Source organism: Homo sapiens, chromosome 6 (genome assembly GCF_000001405.40).
Source record: "Homo sapiens chromosome 6, GRCh38.p14 Primary Assembly".
Classification (NCBI taxonomy): Eukaryota; Metazoa; Chordata; class Mammalia; order Primates; family Hominidae; genus Homo; species Homo sapiens.
The window spans coordinates 44,355,739-44,375,843 of NC_000006.12; the positions used below are offsets into that span (position 1 = coordinate 44,355,739).

Here is a 20,105-nt window from a genome sequence, read left to right on the forward strand (position 1 = left end):
CCCAGCACTAGACATGGAAGAGGCTGGCATAATTCTTAAGCTCTGCCTCTTTAGGTCCTCTGCAACAGGTGTATATCACTAGCAGCAGTAGTGGGACCATGTATTGGGAGGGAAAGAAAGCCCGGAATGTGAGGTTCACATCCTGTAGGATGGGGAACTGCGTGATTGCTGCCACTTCTACATTCCTAATTCCCACCTAAATAAGTCCCCTTTATCTTTCATGATGCCTGGGTTACGGAGGACCTAACTCAGTCAAAGCATGTGTAGCCGAATCTAAAGCTCCACTCTAGACATAGCCTCAGGCTTTAGATTGATATATTGAACTGCTTTCCAGATATCTCCACCTGAAGTCCCACAGGCCCCCAAACTCAACATGCCTTGACTGAACTTCTCATCACCCATCCTTACAAACCAAATCCTTCTGTGTTCCTTGTCTCAGTTGATAATCTCAGTATTCATACAGCTCCAAAGGTATAGATTGACAGATCATACTTGTCTCCTGCCGCTCATCCAATGGGGGATCAAGCCCTGAAACACCGTATAAGTCCATCTCTTCTACTCCATCTATATTACCATGGTCCCACTCAAGGCCCTGATCATCTCTTACCTGGACCACTGTAATACCTTCTAGATTAGTTATTTATTGGTACACAACTAATCACCCTAACTTAGTTACTTAAAACAACAAACATTTATTATCTCACATTTTCTACAGGTCAGGAAACTGAGTATAACCTAGATCGGTGCCTCTGGCTCAAGGTCTCTCTCACAAGATTGCAATCGAGGTGTTGGCCACAGCTGTGGGCTCATCTGAAGGCTCAACTGTGGGAGGATCCACTTCCAAGCTCACTCATATGGTTGATAGCAGGATTCACTTCCTCACAGGCTGCTGGGGCTGAGAGTTCAGTTCCCCACTGGCTGTTGCCCACAGGCTTCCCTCAGTTCCTTGTCTCTACAGAGGGCATCCCACAACATAGCAGCTGTCTCTCCTTACAAGCAAGCAGGAGTGCACATAAGACAAAGCCACAGTCTCTTTGTAACCTAATGTGGGAAGTGACATCCCATAACATTTGCTGTTTTCTCTTTGTTGAAAGTGAGTCAGTAGGTCTAGCCTATACTCAAAGAGAGAAGATTACAGGAGGGAATAAATACCAAGAGTCAGGGATCACTGGCAGCCATGTCAGAGGCTGCCTGCTACACTCTCCTAAGTGGACTCCCTGACTTAAATTTTATATTCTCAAAGCCCATTCCTTTCACAGCTTCCAGAGTTTTCTAACCACATGTGACCATGTCATGTCGTTGCTTACCATTATTTAATGATATTCCATTAAAGCTTGATAAAAAAGAGTCCCCCTTCATATGAACTGCAAGTCCTCCAGATCTGTCTCCTTCTCTTCTCCACCTTTATCTCAAAAACTCCTGCCACAACCACATCAAATTTCTTCATTTCCCTGATGTTTCTTCCTTCTATGCCTTTGCTCACATTGCCTCCTTTGCTTGAAGTGGCTTCCTCCAATGCCTTGCTGTGTTCACATATTGTAGAAGCTGCTTGGCTTCCACTGACTTTCCAGTGGCGTCGTCTATGCTATTCTCCTTTTTCTGGGGAATTGATTTTCACTCCTTCCTTACCCAGTTTTTGTTTGTTTGTTTGTTTGTTTTTTTAGATAGAGTTTCGCTCCTGTTGTCCCAGCTGGAGTCCATTGGCGCCATCTCGGCTCACTGGAACCTTGGCCTCCTGGGTTCAAGTGATTCCCCCTCCTCAGCTCCCTGAATAGCTGGGATTACAGGTGCATGCCACCACACCTGGCTAATTTTGTATTTTCAGTAGAGATGGGGTTTCACTATGTTGGCCAGGCTGGTCTTGAACTCCTGACCTCAGGTGATCCACCCCCCTCAGCCTCCCAAAGTGTTGGGATTACAGGCATGAGCCACTGTGCCCAGCCCTTCCCTATGCAGTTTTTAAACATTTTAACACAAGATCTTGCTATGTTTCCCCGGCTGGTCTCGAACTCCTGCCTACCCAGTTTTAATGAGTATTCTGAATAGGAGCTACCATCATCTTACTTATCTCCACTTCTTGATAGTGATTGATTTAAGGGAGAACGTGTGATCTGAGCTGAGCCAGTGAGTCCTTCCCTGAGATTTTTCACATTGGAGATACGGGTAAAAATTGGTTGGAAGACATGAGAATTTGAATCTGGTCTGTCAGTGGCCTTTTTGCTCTTGTGAAGAAGCTCATCTGCAATTGGCAGAAAGGAAGCCAAGGTGTCAGGATAAGCAGAGGAGAGTGACAGTTCTGAGACATTGAACCCCAATTCCAGTTGTCCCCAGCTATACTCTTGTCATGGAAACTAACACACCTCCAAAATTGCTTATATTCTGAATCAGGGGTGGGGGCACTGAGTTATTGGTCCTACCTACATCACAGGATTGTTAGTAGGGAGCAAACAAGACAAGCAATATGAAGTTGCTTTGATGCCATTTAAATATGAGTGACGCATTGTTATGAAAAAAGATCCTGTGACTTGATAACAGATCATTGTACCTGAAAACATTGTCCAAGGCCAGGTTTCAGACGCAAAGCCATTTAAACCAGAAGTGATTGCATTTTCAGCTGACACCTATAATAGTTTGTTGTGGGCCTTTATAAACTGCTAGGAAGTTCAGCGCTAAACATAATGCTCTATTATTGTAATCATTTCAGCCTAGGTTTGTTTTTGATTATTTCTTCGTCTTCTTTACATACTTATTGATTTTTTATTTGCATTTAATGGTTTTATTAAACATGCTTTTTTTGGTAACAGATTTATTTAAACATAATTCACATACCTTAAAAGTCACCCACTTAAACTGTGCACACAACTCGATGGTTTTTAGTGTATTCATAAAGTTGTGCAACTATCACCACAATCAATTTTAGAACATTTTCATCACCACAAAAAGAAATCCATACCCTTTAGCAATCATCCCCCTGCAGCCCCATCTTCCTATCCCTCTAGTCTGAGACAACCATTAATCTACTTTTGTCTGTATAGATTTGCCTATTTCAGACATGTAATATTAATAGGATTATCAATATGTGGTCTTTGGTGTCTGGCTTCTTTCACTTAGCACAATGCTTTCAAGGTGCATACATGTTGTAATATATATCATTCCTTTCTAAAAATTGTAGTAAAATATATATGGCACAACATTTGCCATTTTATCCATTAAAAAATGTTTTTTAAAGAAATGGGATTTCACTCTGTAGCCCAGGCTGGAGTGCAGTGGCATAGTCACTGCTCACTGCAGCCTCCACTTCCTGGAGGCTGGAATGAGGTGGAGTGATCCTTCCACCTCAGCCTCCCAAGTAGCTAGAACTACAGGTGTGCACCACCACACCTGGCTAATTAAAAATTTTTTTGTGGAGATGAGGTCTCACTATTTTGCCCAGGCTGGTCTCAAACACCTGGGCTTAAGTGATCCTCCTACCTTGGCATCCCGAAATACTAAGATTATAGGCATGAGCCACTGCGCCTGCCTGATTTTATGCATTTTTAAGTGTACAATTCAGTGGCATTAATTGCAGTCATAATGTTGTGTAACCATCACCATTGTCTATTTTCAGACATTTTCATCAGTCCAAACAGAAACTCTATGACCATAGCAATAACTTGCCATTCTCCCCTCTCCCCAGCCCCTGGTAACCTGTAATCTACTTTCTATGAAGTTACCTATTCTAGATATTTCATATAAGTGGAATCACATAATATGTCCTTTTGTGTCTGGCTTATTTTACTTAGCATAATGTTTTCAAGGCTCACCATGTTGTAGCATGCATCACTACATCATTCCTTTATTTTTTTCTTATTTTTTTGAGACAGGATCTCACTTTGTTGCCCAGGCTGGAGTGCAGTGGCGAGATCTCTGCAGCCTCCACTTCCTGAGTTTAAGCAATTCTCCTGCCTCAGCCTCCTGAGTAGCTGGGATTACAGGCATGCACTACCATGCCTGGCTAATTTTTGTATTTTTGGTAGTGATGGGGTGTCTCCATGTTGCCCAGGCTGGTCTTGAACTCCTGAGCTCAAGTGATCCACCTGCCTCAGCGTTCCAAAGTGTTGGGATTACAGGCATAAGCCACCATGCCCAGCCACTTCATTCCTTTTTAAGGCTGAATAATATTCCATTGTATGTGTTATGTACCACATTTTGCTTATCCATTCTTCTCTTGATGGACACTTGGGTCGTTTCCACTTTTTGGCTGTTGTGAATAATGCTGCAAAGAACATTCACATGCAAGTATCTGTTTGAATCTCTGTTGTCAGTTCTTTTAGGTATACACCTAGAAACAGAATTACTGAGTCTTATGGTAATTCTGTGTTCAACTTTTTGAGGAACCACCAAATTATTTTTAAACACTTAAAAAAATTAGTAAAGACGGGATCTCACTATGCTGTCCAGTCTGGTCTCAAACTCCTGGCCTCAAGTGATCCACCTGTCTCAGCCTCCCAAGGTTTTGGGATTACAGGCGTGTGCCACTGAATACCCATCTTTTCAATAAGTTTCAGTCCCCTCAAATTATGAGTAAATAAATGATATGCTCAAGGACTTTTATAGAGGAGTAGTCCCAGTTCTCATAAGCGAGGGCAATTCTAGGGTAAACTATGTGAGATCAGGCTGTAACTACCAGTTTAAGCACGTGGAAGAATCCTTCTGCTTTCTTTCCAGCACCACTGCTGACTTGGATCGGAAACTCTCCTTCTCACATTCTGATCACTCCTCTGAAATGTCGTTGCCTGAAGTCCAAAAGGATAAATATCCTGAGGAATTCAGCCTGCTTAAGTTGCAGACGAGTAAGTCACAGACCCTCCTCCACATGCTTCTGTGCCCCAGGTCTTTTCAGAAGTCTGCCATACTGTTGGCCACCCTCATCGAAGGCCCACAACTGTCAAGCATTTGATGTACTTTATCTCAAAATTCACAAAACCTCTGCCAGGAAGCCATTATATGTTTTTCAAAAATAAAATGCCTTTATATAAAACCCATTAAAATACTGCAGAAAGACATTAAAATAATATAGAAGTATATAGAGTATAAAAACTCCTTCCCCAATATTTTTCAACAATATCCCTATTCTGCCCCATAGCTGTGAAGAGTCGATATATATTTTTCCAATATTTTGAAATGTATGTGTGTGTGTATACATACACGTGTACATATATAGATATAAAATAAATGGGTTAGTATACAAACTGGTATAAATAGATCATGGACCTCTTTCTGTGTCAATACATATAGATCTATATGGTTAATATAGACATACCCATTTTACAAAGGAGGAAACTGAGGCTTTGAGACATTCAGTCATCCATAAAGCCACATGGCCAGGAAGTAGAGCAATGGGATCAGAACCCACACTTGCTTGCCTCGAAGCCTGTGCTCTTCTTGGATATCCCAGAGCCCACATTTCTCAAGCACCCCTAGAGCTACTAGGGGATCTTTTATTGTTTAAAGTCACTGTTAGCCATCTTACAGGAAAAGTATCAGATGATGAAACAAAGGCACTGCAAGGTCCAGAAACTAGCCTGGGGTCTCACGACAGCTTTTCTCATTTGAAATTATCACAGGTCCATTTCCCGGTGTCACCGTAGCACATGCGCGTGCTATTGTTGCAGCCAACACCATGTTTCCTCCACTTGAGGTGCCATGTGGATGGCACTGGCCTAGCCATTTGCTGGTTGATGGCATTCTATTTTTCCTACACCGTTATCAGAGTGAAGATTGTATCACAGGTACTTGTAAGACTGTCTCTGAGCTTCCCAATCAATACTTAACTTCCAAACATAAAGTTGGCTTTATTTTTGAAGGAGAGGGTGAAGAGGGCAAACAAAAACAAAGACGGCCTCTTAGATAGCTCTCCCCTGACTTCCCTTCCTTTTGTGTCTAGTCCCACAGAGTTTCACACTGTCTCTGATGTAGAACCAAGGGATTATACACATTAATTAAAGTTATATAGCCAGATAGTGCCTGTGGAGTTTTCACAGCTTTTTGTCATCCAGTTGCATTATGAGGCTGGGAACAGTGCTAATGGAAGGCTTTCTGGTGTATTGCAGAAGATGGGCATCGTCCTGAGTGGACATTTTACCCAAGGTTTAGCAGCAACATCCACACCTACCACGTCGGAAAGCAGTGCTTCTTTAATGGAGTCTTCCTCGGCAACAAGAGGTCTCTATCAGAGAGGACGGTGGACAAGTGCTTTGGGAGAAAGAAATACGGTGATGTTTCCTTCTGGGTCTTGACTGTGCAGTCCCCGAAAAACTCTCGAGTCGTGATTCTATAGGCCCTGCATTCTGTAGCTGGGGGCAGCCCTGTAGAGTCACCATGTTCCCCTAGTGCAGCCAGGAAGACAGAAAAGTGAAGGGGACAGTTTGCAGGCTGCACGTTTTGGCAAAGAGCTCACAGCAGATGCTAATCCACATTTTCTTTTTTCTCTGAATTTCATAAAATGCAAATGTGACATTTAAGTCATCAGATAAGTTCTCTCAGATACTTATTAATAGAAACCTCCATTGAAGTCTGAAGAAAAGAATTTATGTTCCAATTAGATGCTGCCTGGCATACACATTTAAATTGTACTTTATATTCTCCACAAGGAAAACATCCCATAAACCTCAGCCTGAAGTGCATGTTTTTATTTTATTGCTGATTTAATTAAAGGCTATTGAAATGAATATATATCTACCTGTGTATCTATATCTCCTTGGTTTGTAGCTCAGTGAGTTCTTTGCCCCAACCTACTCATAATAGACTTACCGAAAGACCCTCAAAAGTTGCTGAGTACCAACTGACCATTTATGACACATTTTTCTATATAAATCTCTGTGTAGGAGGCAACCATTGCTCCAGAAATAAATAGGATTGCTGTAGCAGGAATACAAAGAGAAAGAAGTAGACTGTTCTCATTTTTGAGTTTTAAAATAGACTTAAACTCACAACAGAGACAAATAGTTTTGAGAATTGAGGCTTTTATTTATTTGGGTAGAAAAATACGTAGAAAGCCATACTAAATGAGCTGGGAGAGTGGTCATTGATATGGAAATCCGTGAGGAGTCCTGCACCTTGCACTTTTTTTTTTTTTGAGACGGAGTTTCGCTCTTGTTGCCCAGGCTGGAGTGCAATGGCGCGATCTTGGCTCACAGCAACCTCCGCCTCCCGGGTTCAAGCCATTCGCCTGCCTCAGCCTCCGGAGTAGATGGGATTATAGGCATGCACCACCACACCCGGTTAATTTTGTATTTTTAGTAGAGACGGATTTCTCCATGTTGGTCAGGCTGGTCTCGAACTCCGGACCTCAGGTGATTCGCCTGCCTCGGCCTCCCAAAGTGCTGGGATTACAGGCGTAAGCCACCGTGCCCAGCACTTTTTTTTTTTTTAAGACAAGGTCTTGCTCTGTGGCCCAGGCTGGAGTGCAGTGCCACCATCTTGGCTCACTGCAGTTCCGAATGCCAGCCCCCCAGCCCCAGGCTCAAGCAATCCTCTAACCTCAGCCTCTAAGTTGCTGGGACTAGAGGCATGTGCCACCATGCCCGGCTGATTTTTCTATTTTTAGTAGAGACAGGGTTTCTCCATGTTGCCCAGGCCAGTCTCAAACTCCTGGGCCCAAGCGATTAGCCGGCCTTGGCCTCTCAAAGTGCTGGTATTACAGGTGTGAGCCACTGCAGCCAGCCTACCCTGCACTCTTGAGCTGCAAGTACCTATCAAAAGTAAATGGGATTATCATAATGACCTAAATCTCAATCTTGACTTATCACTGCCCTCCTGGCTCAAAAGTAAACCACCTTATCCTGAATTTTATGTTTATGATTCTTCCCTCTCCTTTCCTTTCTTTTTCTTTCTTCTCCTTTCCTCTTCTTTTTCTTTCTTTCCTTCCTTCCTTCCCTCCTTCCCTCCTTCCTTCCTTCCCTCCTTCCCTCCTTCCTTCCTTCCCTCCTTCCTTCCTTTTTCCTTTCCTCCCTCCCTCTCTCCATCCTTTCATTTCTTCTTTCCCTTCTTCCTTTAGGGTTTTATAAATACTGAGTAAATGCAATGATATATTTATGAAACATTTGTTGACTATATAAAATGAAATATCACAAATACTTGCGTTCTTTTACTCCACTTAAGAAATAAAATTCTAACTTTATATTTGAAGGCTCCAATATCCTCTTCCCCGAATATTCCATCTTTCCTCCTCCAACTCCAGTGGTAACCCATATTTCATATTTTTTTAAAGAAAAACTTATTAGGTAAATTTTCAAACAATAGCAAAATGAAACCCGATGTACTCATCCACTTAGCTTCAATAATGATCAACACCTGGCTAACTTGTTTCATCATTACTCCTCCTCCCAGGGATTATTTCAAAGCAAATTTCAGACATCATATTATTTCATCTCTAAATATATCATATGTGCCTCTGATAGATAAGGATTATTTTATTAACATAACCACAATTCCATATCATAATATCATATTTTAAAAATTAACAGTAATTCCTTAATATAGTCAGTGTCCAAATATCCCATTGTCTCATAAATGCCACAATTTAAAAATATTTAGTTTGTTTGGATCAGGATCCAAGTAAGGCCCACAGATTGAAATTGGTTGGTATGTCTGTTAAGTTTCTTTCTCCCTCCTTTTTTCTTGCAATTTGTATGGTGAAGAAACTAGGCCTTATCCTGCAGTATTCACCATGATCAGGACTTTGCTGATTACATTGCTTGGTATCATTTAACAGGTTCCTCTTTCCTGTGTATTTCCTGTGAAGTGGTAGTTGGGTCTACAGGCTTGATTCGTTTTAGTATATGATTACTTCTTAGGTGATGTACAGTGACTTCTTTAAACATCAAACGCAATGGTCTTTTTCCATTTCTTCTCTTCCTTGATCTCACTGCAGCACTTGATACTGTCAAGCTTGACACTGGATACTTCTTCCTTTGTGAAATTCTCTCCCCACTCTTTCTTTCTTTTCTTTCTTTCTTTTTTTCTTTCTGTCTTTCTTTCTTTCTTTTTCTTTTTCTTCTTTTCTTTTCTCTTTCTTTCTTTCTTTCTTTTTTTTTTAGACAGAGTCTCGCTCTGTCACCCAGGCTGGAGTGCAGTAGCGTGACCTTGGCTCACTGCAACCTCCGCCCACTGAGTTCAAGCAATTCTCATGTCTCAGCCTCCTGGGATTACAGGCATGTGCCACCACTGCCGGCTAATTCTTGTCTTTTAGTAGAGACAGGGTTTCACCATGTTGGCCAGGCTGGTCTCCAACTCCTGACCTCAGATGATCCACCCGCCTCGGCCTCCCAAAGTGCTGGGATTACAGGTGTGAGCCACCACTCCTGGCCCCCACTCATTATTTCTTGGATGAGATGAAGTGGTAGGCTCAGGGACTGCCAACCAGCTGCCATTTTAAACTGGAATGCAACGCATTATTATATCAAAAAATCAATCAAAATATCTTTAAATAATGGTTGACTGTTATCCATCAGCCATAACCAGGATATTGGTGGAGTTCCCTAAAGGCCTAGCTGTTGCCACAGAACAAAATGCCATCTATGATTGTAGGTGGTAGGGAAATAGATCTGAAAATACAATTTTCTATTGTGTAGCTCTTCCCACAGTACAGCATATTGTATTAGTCAGAATAGGATAGATTCTGCCGCAGTAACAGTCCCTGAAATCTCTGCAGCTTAAGCACTAAAGTTTGCTCCTTTCTCTTGTAAAGTCCACTGTGGATCCAGCAGCTCTCCAGGACAGCTCCTTTCCAAGGATGCTGTCTGCTTTTATCTGTGACCTTTCCATCTCAACCTGTGGCTTCTAAGATTGCCATAGAAGGGTAAAGAGAAAATGCTGGAAGGTTTTTCACATCAGCTCCTTAAATGCTTCTTTTTAAAGTGGCACATATCATCTCTGCTCACAATCTATCAGTCAGAACATGGCTCTACCTAAACGCATCGGGGCACTGAAATGTGGGGCAGAGTAAGTTATTTGGTGAACGGTTCGCTCCCTTATATGGTTATTTGTCTCTAAATGTATGTTTCCCATTTTCTACCTCCTGAATGTCTACATCCAGGAAATTGGATGGTCTGTCTAAAAACAAACAAGCATTAGAACTGATCATGCAGTGTTATGGGTCCATCAGCTATTGATACATAGTGGCCAGCCCTTTGGGCTGATACCTGTTTTGGTGAGATATCCAGAAATTATACCAAGGCCCCATATTGTACTTAATAGCTTAAACAAACATGTTATCTCAGAAGTGTTGTTTGGGAGATTTTCCCCCTAAAAGTAACACCTTATACTGACATCACACCATTGCCTCTTTTTCTTCCTCCTGACATTATCTTGTGATATCTTTTACCATAGTCTATATATATATATATATTTTTTTTTTTTTTGAGACAGAGTTTCGCTCTTGTTGCCCAGGCTGGAGTGCAATGGTGCGATCTCGGCTCACTGCAATCTCTGCCTCCCAGGTTCAAGCGATTCTCCTGCCTCAGCCTCCTGAGTAGCTGGGATTACAGGCATGTGCCACCATGCCCAGCTAATTTTGTATTTTTAGTGGAGACGGGATTTCACCATGTTGATCAGGCTGGTCTTGAACTCCTGATGTCAGGTGATCCACCTGCCTCGGCCTCCCAAAGTGCTGGGATTACAAGCATGAGCCACTGCGCCTGGCCACCATAGTCTATTTCTAGGTGTTCTCCTTAGACCACCTATATCATAATCAACTGGAAAGTTTATAAAAATTACTGGTTCTGGGAACTATTAGAGATCTTCTGAAACAGAATTTCTTGGGTTAAAGGCTGCATTTTAAACAAGTTTCCTAGGTGATTTTCAGGTGTGCTAAAATTTTGGAACCACTGTTCTATAGTATATGGCATTTACTGCTTTGTAGTGTTACCTTCGTCTTTACATATGTCTCCCTATCTAGATAAGATTCCCTGGGGAGAAATTTATACCTCAGCTATATAGCAATCGTATCCTCCAGATTAAAAAATAATTGGGATGAGGGGTATTAGTCCAGTTCTGATTTCAAATAATAATAATTGCTACTATTTCTTGGGTGCTTGTTATATGCTCACATCATTATTATTTAGTATTCATGATAACTCTGCAAAGTAGCCATTTGAAATAAACAGTTTATAAATGAGGTTAAAAAGGCTTAGTAAGGTTAAATAAATAGCTCAAGGGCACAGAACTAGAAATTGCAGGAGTGAGTATGAACTCAGGTGCGACAGACTCCAAAGTCCAAACTCTTCCCACCACCTCTTGTCACCCAACTCTTACTTGTCAGTGCCCTGGTTTGGTATGCAAAAGGTTTCAGATGCACTGTATATTTAATTAATTGATTAAATTGTTGAGACAGAGTCTCATTCTATTTCCCAGGCTGGAGTGCAGTGGCATGATCTCGGCTTACTGCAACCTCCGTCTCCCGGGTTTAAGCGATTCTCCTGTCTCAGCCTCCCGAGTAACTGGGATTACTGGCGTGTGCCACCACACCCAGCTAATTTTTGTATTTTTAGTAGAGACAGGGTTTCACTGTGTTGGCCAGGCTGGTCTAGAACTCCTGGCCTCAAGGGGATTCAGTATATATTTTAAACCTCCACTCTCTCTGCTTTGAATCCTCAGCATCTCATACCCAGCAGGCACTCAATGCATGGGTGCAGTTGATGTTATTTCACCACACAGAAGAGCTAATCAAAAGTGTAATACAGTCAGTTATTGAAAAGGTTTTTGAAAGAGAAAGACAAAAAAGTAAATACTCTGGTAACCCAAGAACTTCCACCTGTCACGCTGATGGCTTTTCCGAGTTAGCTAGAAGAATCTGGGTGTGTGGCAAAGATGGAGGTCATGCTTCCAGCCACGTGTCCCTGCTTCTGAGCCCAAGGGTGATGAGTCTCGTAGTCCAGGCTTATTCTCTTAGGAGATGCATCTGGTGTAAGTGTGTGGGTTGATTTATTTATTTTAAATTTTAATTTTTTAAATAGGCAATTTTAAGGACTTTAGGTGTGTGGGTTTAAATGATCACCCTACACTAGGCTGATGCCTTCCACTCCCGTGATTAGTTTCTTGTTCCCAGGGCTTTAGCAGGGGCTGAGCTGGGTGTAAGAACCTCTGCTGAGTAATCTTGCTCTTCTCCAGGAAGCCACCTCCCACTGCTGCATGGCCCCAGTCCTTGAGGCAGAAGGAGCAAGACATCCTTAGTTGGTTTCCTTCCTGGACCCAGTCAGAGAGGCAGAGCCCCAGGGACACTTGTTTCTTCGGCTTCCTAAGACTCAGGGATTCAAAGTGCACTAATGCTCAGGAATGAAGAGATTTTTAGGTCAGAGATTTTTGGATCATTGCAAAGAAACCTCTGATTCACCTTATATTTTAAACCAAAACACTCCATCTGAATCTAACAATTCTTTTCCAGGGTGAGGTAGTTACAACAACACTTTTTGGAAAATGTCCCAAATATAGGCTCATCTCCTTAAGGCAAGATAATCACAAACAGAACTTTGAGAAACTTCTATGTAATTTATAATAAAATACTAAAATATCCTCTTTCCATTGTCATGCCAATACTTACAGCAAATCTGTGGATCATCTTCAGCCCTTGTATGATTTTGTTTTCAAACCTTCTCCACAGATATTGATCCCAGGAATGGAATCCCAAAGTTAACTCCAGGCGACAATCCATATATGTACCCAGAACAGAGTAAAGGCTTCCACAAAGCAGGATCAATGCTCCCACCAGTGAATTTTTCAATGTAAGTGTATGTTAATACTAGCATTATATAGTTAACTTTAAAGGAATTGTGTCTCTCTACTACACAGAAATTATATTTTAAAAGGGATAGATGTCAACAAGATGTGATTGGATGAAAATTCCTTGAAAAGCTCATCTTTAGTTAATTAATGTCTGCACACATGCATGTGTATAATTAAAATTACACACAGGACTTGGACTACAAAAAAGTGGTTGTTAATTTTGTTCCTATCTCTATTATCACAGATTTGAAAACTTTTAAATTTTCATACTGAATCAGATTGTTGGCCATAGTGACTACTATGTGGGTGGACTTAAACTTGGAAATAAACTTAGACCAAAGTGATGGAGAAAAGTGGGAGGATCATTACATTAAAAGAAAAATAGTTGGTGTATTACATTTTTTTTTTTTTTTTGAGACGGAGTCTCGCTCCGTCGCCCTGGCTGGAGTGCAGTGGTGCCATCTCAGCTCACTGCAAGCTCTGCCTCCTGGGTTCATGCCATTCTCCTGCCTCAGCCTCCCGAGTAGCTGGGACTACAGGTGCCCGCCACCACACCTGGGTAATTTTTTGTATTTTCAGTAGAGACGGGGTTTCACCATGTTAGCCAGGATGGTCTTGATCTCCTGACCTCGTGATCCGCCCGCCTTGGCCTCCCAAAGTGCTGGGTAGTTGGTGTACTACATTTAAAATATTATTTTAAAAAATTAACCATGTGGGATATAATGATGTTGACTAAAAATGATCAAAACTAAAATCTGTGGGCCGGGCGCGGTGGCTCACGCCTGTAACCCCAGCCCTTTGAGAGGCCAAGGGTGGGGTGGGGTGGATCGCCTGAGGTCAGGAGTTCAAGACCAGCCTGGCCAACATGGTAAAATCCCGTGTCTACTAAAAATACAAAAATTAGCTGGGCACGGTGGCAGATGCTTGTAATCTCAGCTACTCAGGAGGCTGAGGAAGGAGAATTATTTGAACCTGGGTGATGGAGGTTGCAGTGAGCCGAGATTGCAGCGCCACACTCTAGCCTGGGCGACAGAGTTAAGACTCCATCTCAAAATAAATAAAATAAAATAAAATAATATAAAATCTGTGGGCCAGGCACAGTGGCTCATGCCTGTAATCCTAGCACTTTGGGAGGCTGAGGCTGGAGGATTGCTTCAGCCCAGGCGTTCCAGACCTACCTGGGCAACATGGAGAAACCCCTTCTCTACAAAAATACAAAAAATTAGCTGGGCATGGTGGTGTGTGCCTATAATCCCAGCTACTTGGGAGGCTGAGGTGGGAGGATCACCTGAGCCTGAAAGGTCGAGGCTGCAGTGAGCTGAGATTGTGCCACTGCACTCCAGCCTTGGGGACAGAGTGAGACCCTGTCTCAAAACATACATAAAATAAAATAAAATAAAATAAAATAAAATCTGCGGTTCTTACAGTTTTGAAGTCAATACTTGAAAATTAAAATCGGAAAACAGGACATTCTATTGAATACAATGATGTATTGATCTCTTTGCTGTAGATGGCATACCAGTTTTATGATTGCCTTTTCTGTTTTTCAGAGTGCCTTATGAAAAGAAATTTGATACATTTATTCCACTTGAGCCTCTTCCACAAATTCCCAAGTGAGTTCTCTTGTCATGTTTTGTGTTATCCCATCTTTATTAAATATCGATTATTTTATTGTTTCCTTATGTGGAGGAGCAGGTAGATAACCAGGACACAGGGCCCTTTTGAATCCCAGCAGGAGGGTGGGGCAGTTTGTAAGGAAGGTGTTTGGATAGACATTCTGTAGAGTCTGCAATTGGGATGGTCACATATTCAACAGATGTAATTGACAAACTACCAGATGCCATGTGTTGTGCTAGCCATGCACTATAGGAGAGTTCACATGGAACAAAAAGACAGGGTTCCTGATTCCTAGAACATGAGTATGTTGGGAAAAAAAGACACATACTTAAATGATTGCAACTGGCGAGAATGGTTAGAGTTTCAAGAGGCAGAAAGAAAGCTAACAGAGCACTTCTGTGTTTGAGGGAAATATCATTCCTTTAATTTCATACTTTTGCTTCACTCCATTCTGAACCTCACTTATTTACCTAAGCAGGTTTCTGACCTATAAAGAGATATTTTCTTTTCTTTCTTTCTTTTTTTACTTTCTAATACAAAACAGTCTCCTATGAGTGGGCATGTGTCCCAGGGTCTAACCCACTCTGGAGCTCAGTGGGAATAAAAACCTTTTATTCCAAACTTGAGATTTTAATGTCTTTATTATGTTGCATTGTTACTTATGGCACACGATTAGGGCTTCTCATGTCTGTACTTTACATTTTTAATAAACACTATTCTAGAATATTCCAAATAATAGCAATTGCCTACATTTCATCACTCTACTATTTTAGCTTTTGTACATTACCTTTCATATGCAAATATGTTTTTACATGTATAAACCCCAGAATACCAATTAGTCTGGTTTTCCTAAAAAGAAAGGTTTTTTTTTTTTTTTTCTTGAAGTACAAAGCTAGCTGGGTGCAGTGGCTCACACCTATAATCCCAGCACTTTGGGAGGCCAAGGCAGGGGGACTGCTTGAAGCCAAGAGATTGAGACCAGCATGGGCAACATAGTGAGACCCTATCTCTACAAAATATTTTTTTTAAAAATTAGCCAGGCATAGTGGTATGCAACTGTAGTCCTAGGTACTTGGGAGGCTGAGGCAGGAGGGTTTCTTGAGTCTATGAGTTCGAGGCTGCAGTGAGCTACGATTGTGCTATGCACTCCAGCCTAGGTGATAGAGCAAAACCCTGTCTCAAATTAAAAAAAAAAAAAAGAGAGAGAAGTCGATCAGCATATTCCTCTGTGCTATGGTCAATAAGACAATTGTGAGACTTGGACCCTTTCCTCAGGGACAGTCACCCTAATGAAAAAGTCTACTAACCAGTTAGTCATGGCAGAAGTGACAAAGGCTTCTGTTGCTGGATTTAGCATTTATTGTTTCCTAGATTCTCTATTTTGTTCTGTAGCGTCTAGTTTGCTGTTAGTCCTATCCAGTGATTATGTATTTCGATCTTTAGAAATTCTATTTGATTCTTTTTTATATCTGTTGTTCTTTCCTATTTTCATGTTTTCCTTAAATACTTGGACATAGTAATAGCTGTTTAAAGATTTTTGTTTGTGGGCTGGGCGCGGTGGCTCATGCCTGTAATCCCAGCACTTTGGGAGGCTGAGGCTGGCGGATCACGAGGTCAGGAGATTGAGACCATCCTGGCTAACACAGTGAAACCCTGTCTCTACTAAAAATACAAAAAATTAGCTGGGCGTGGTGGCAGGCGCCTGTGGTCCCAGCTACTCGGGAGGCTGAGGCAGGAGAATGGCGTGAACCTGGGAGGCAGAGCTTGCAGTGAGCTGAGATGGTGCCACTGCACTCCAGCCTGGGCGACACAGCGAGACTCCGTCTCAAAAAAAAAAAAAAAAAAGATTTTTGTTTGCAGCCGGGCATGATGGCTCACTCCTGTAACCACAGCACTTTGGGAGGCCGAGGCAGGCAGATTGAGGTCAAGAGATCAAGACCATCCTGGCCAACATGGTGAGACCCTGTCTCTACTAAAAGCACAAAAATTATCTGGGTGTGGTGGCGCGCACCTGTAGTCCCAGCTACTTGGGAGGCTGAGGCAGGAGAATCACTTGAACCCGGGAGGCAAAGGTTGAAGTGAGCCAAGATCACGCCACTGCACTCCAGCCTGGCGACAGAGTGAGACTCCATCTCAAAAAAAAAAAAAAAAGATTTTTGTTTGCTAATTCTATTATTTGTGTCATTTCTGGGTGTGTTTCTACTGACTGATTTTTCTCCTGATTATGGGTCACATTTTCCTGCTTCCTGGTATGTCTAGTAATTTTTATTTGGATACTGGACATTATAATTTTATATTGTTGAGTATTTGGATTTTGTTGTCTTTTTTTATTTTATTTTATTTTTTATTTTATTTATGTTTTTTTAGATGGAGTCTCACTTTGTCACCAGGCTGGAGTGCAGTGGCGCAATCTGGGCTCACTGCAACCTCCGCCCCTAGGTTCAAGGGATTCTCCTGCCTCAGCCTCCCGAGTGGCTGGGATTACAGGCACGTGCCACCACACCCAGCTAATTTTTGTATTTTTAGTAGAGACAGGGTTTCACTATGTTGACCAGGCTGGTTTCAATCTCTTGACTTCGTGATCCACCTGCCTTGGGCTCCCAAAGTGCTGGGATTACAGGCGTGAGCCACCGCAACAGGCCTTGTGGTCTTCTTTTAAAGAGTGCTGGTCTTTGCTGTAGCAGGCAGTTAAGTCACTTGCAGTTTGGTTTGAGGCTTGTTTTCAAGCTTTGTTAGGGCGTGTCTAAAGCAGTCTTTAGGGATAGTTTAACTCCATTACTAAGTAAGATGTGGCCCTTTTAGAGTCTCTGCAGAATACCTTGAGTGATCAGTGAGGAGTCTTCACTTTAGTTGGTGGGAACTAAAATGATTTTTAGCCCTTTGTGAGCCCATTCAGTTCCCAGTCACTCTATTGTCTGATCTTTTGGAGTTCTACCCTACACATGTGTGTCTTAATATTCAGCAAAGACTCAAAGGAAGTGCTGTGTAAATTTCTTACTTTCATTTTTTTGTAAAGTTCCTTCTTCCCCAGAACTCTGCCCTGCAGCTTCCAGTCCTCCAAGACTCTCTGAACTTGGATCTTCGGCTCCTCAAACTCATAGAGAATGCCATGCTCTGTGTGGGGTTGCTCATCCTACGCTGTGGTCTTGAATGTGCCTCCAGGCAAAGCTGGGTGATTACAGGAATCTCTTCATTTGCTTTCCTTTTCTTTAGGATCACAATCCTGTGCTGCCTGTTGTCTCATTCTGAAAATTGTTATTTCATACATTTTGTCCAGTTTTCTACTTGTTTAAGTCAGGAGAGTAAATCTGATCCCCGCTACTTCATTATGGCTGGAATTATTATCTATGAATAGAAATGTTATTATCTATCATCTATTAATAAAAATTGTAGGTTTTTTCCCAAGTTATTTGATGAATCAGTTTTGTACTGCTCCATTACTGTCATCAAAGTTGTTCATATCTTTAAATAGTGTAGTAATTGTGCTTGGAAATTTAAGAATGTTAAATCTGCAAATGCAACAATCCACCTGTAAAATAAGAACAAAACCTGATAACCAGAACCAGATAAAGTTGCCAAGTCTTCTCTAGTTAGTGACAGAGAGAGCCAGAATTAGAATAAAAATTAGGGAGGTAAGATTACTTATTGAAAAGGTCCCTATAATGTGCAGTACGTTTACAGGGATTATTTATTCAACTCAGCAGACATCCTTTGAGTACCGTTTATGCACTTAATCTACAGGAGAAATGGGAAGGTGGTGAGGTAATGGAGGCAGGGATCACAAAGATGAATAAGATATGATATTTGTTTCAAGGCTCATTGTCTATTGTGGGGAGAGACCACTAGATGAGTAATCATAAAACAATTGAAAGCAAATATGGTACAATGTGTACATAGAGGAAAGACATGGGGGAAGTTGAGGACATGTTGCAGAGGAGGTGGTACTTGATCTGGGTCCTAGATGAGGCATTGCAGTTAATGTATCTTCCAAGGACAAAGTATTATGGGATGCATCTATATTAGGTCACTTAATATTTATTTTTAGATTTCCACATGTGCTTGAAAAGAAAGTGTATTCCACTTAATCAGGATGGAAAGTTAGATACATATACAGAAGATTGACTTTATTGGTTATATTGTTTAGCCCCTATATTTCCTTACTTTTGTTCACTTGGCCTAGTTTGGACTGAGAGTTAGTGTGAGAGTTAAGGTGTCTGAATATTAGCATTTCGACTATTTTTGTTGTTAATTGTGTCTTTTAGCATTATGAAAGTATCTTTATTTTTCTCATTTAATACTTTTTGTCCTAAAGTATACCTAGCCAGTTATTAAGGTTCTAATTCTCTATTTTATTTGCATCTGACCTTTGCCCATTCTTTTTGCCCATTCTTTTGCTTTTGAAGCACTTTGCTTTTAGGGTAGAATTGGATTCTGCTCGTGAGCCAGCTTGAAAATATTTTCTTTAATTCAGGTGAATTAGGCCACTTGCATTTATTGATTAGACTGATATATTTGATTTCAGTTCTGTTACATTATTTGTTACATTTATTAGGTGTACTGTATTACATTTAGTGTGAGTCTTTCAGTGTTTGATTGTTTCAACAAAGGCTGAAAAATGCTTTCTTTTGATATTTAGAAATGCTCGTGTTTTTGTTCTAGTAGTTCTTTACGCTAGTATCTTTATACATTGCTCTTAGTCCTGCTTTTCTTATTTGGGTTTCTACTATTTGGCTTGTTGGCTTTAAGTGATAACTTTGACTTTCACCAATTACCTATGTGGTAACCGTCCTCTTCGTTCTTGCAGGGACTTCCCTACCCCCAGCAGTTTTATCAGGGCATTTTGCCAATTGTGGTATATTTCTCCCCTAAAGCACAAGAATTCTAGCTTCCAAAAGATGAAAACATTTTGCATCTGCCTGCTCCAACTCATCCCAGAGTCACACTTCCTACTACCTATTGGACCACATGCAGCCCAGAAATGTCCTTTCAGGTCTCAGTGGCTCTGGGAAGACTCTGGGTATCTGCATTAGCCAAGGTCCCAGCAGAAAACAGAAAGCACACTCAGCTGGGATTCTGAAGACAGCTTAAGGAAAGGGACTATTTATGGGTGTGTGGGCAGGGTTGGGGGAACCCACATGGGAGGGTGAAGCACCCAGAGGCTCATGACAGTGGGAAGCGTTACTACTCTTGGGTCTGAGCAGCAAGAAGAGGGATCACAGTTTGCAGAACAGTAAGCGCTGGAGCTCCGGGAGAAGGGCTGCCCAACAGGAGCTGTGGCACTGCCAGAATTGGGGTGCCTTGGGAGATAGGACATCAGGGGAGGAACTAGGTAAGAAATGCCCTAATTTCTGTCCACCTTCTGATCTCCTATCGGTGCCATCAGCCAAGCCCAGCTCAAAGGTGGAAGCACGGGTGGGGATGGTGGCTCATGCCTGTAATCTCAGCACTTTGGGAGGCCAAGGTGGGAGGATCATTTGGAGTCAGGAGTTCAAGACCAGCCTGACCAACATGGTAAAGCCCCATCTCTACTAAAAATACAAAAATTAGCTGGGCGTGGTGTCATGTGCCTGTAGTCCCAGCTACTTGGGAGGCTGAAGCAGGAGAGTCACCTGAACCCGGGAGGCGGAGGTTGCAGTGAGCAGAGATCGCACTCCAGCCTGGGCGACAGAGTGAGACTCTGTCTCAAAAAACAAACAAAAAAATATGGGCTGGGTATAGTGGCTCAC

General features: G+C 41.9%; 1 protein-coding gene across 2 annotated transcripts in view, besides 1 other annotated feature; it reads left to right on the forward strand.

Moving 5' to 3' along the window:
- Window positions 1–20,105, forward strand: part of SPATS1 (spermatogenesis associated serine rich 1) — a 37,530-nt gene that overhangs the window by 13,089 nt on the left and 4,336 nt on the right. For both annotated transcript variants that reach the window (NM_001372081.1, NM_145026.4), the window contains exons 4-7: window positions 4,708–4,832; window positions 6,093–6,254; window positions 12,641–12,761; window positions 14,313–14,375. In NM_001372081.1, coding sequence (NP_001359010.1) covers window positions 4,708–4,832; window positions 6,093–6,254; window positions 12,641–12,761; window positions 14,313–14,375 — 471 coding nt within the window. The remainder of the gene's footprint in view (window positions 1–4,707; window positions 4,833–6,092; window positions 6,255–12,640; window positions 12,762–14,312; window positions 14,376–20,105) is intronic.
- Window positions 6,747–6,916: an enhancer, noted in NCBI's record as "experimental_91950 CRE fragment used in MPRA reporter constructs". NCBI's record gives its function as "activates a minimal promoter by MPRAs in K562 erythroleukemia cells, with activity observed for both the introgressed and non-introgressed 6:44330307 variant alleles {active_cell/tissue: K562}" and the evidence as "EXISTENCE:reporter gene assay evidence [ECO:0000049][PMID:34662402]".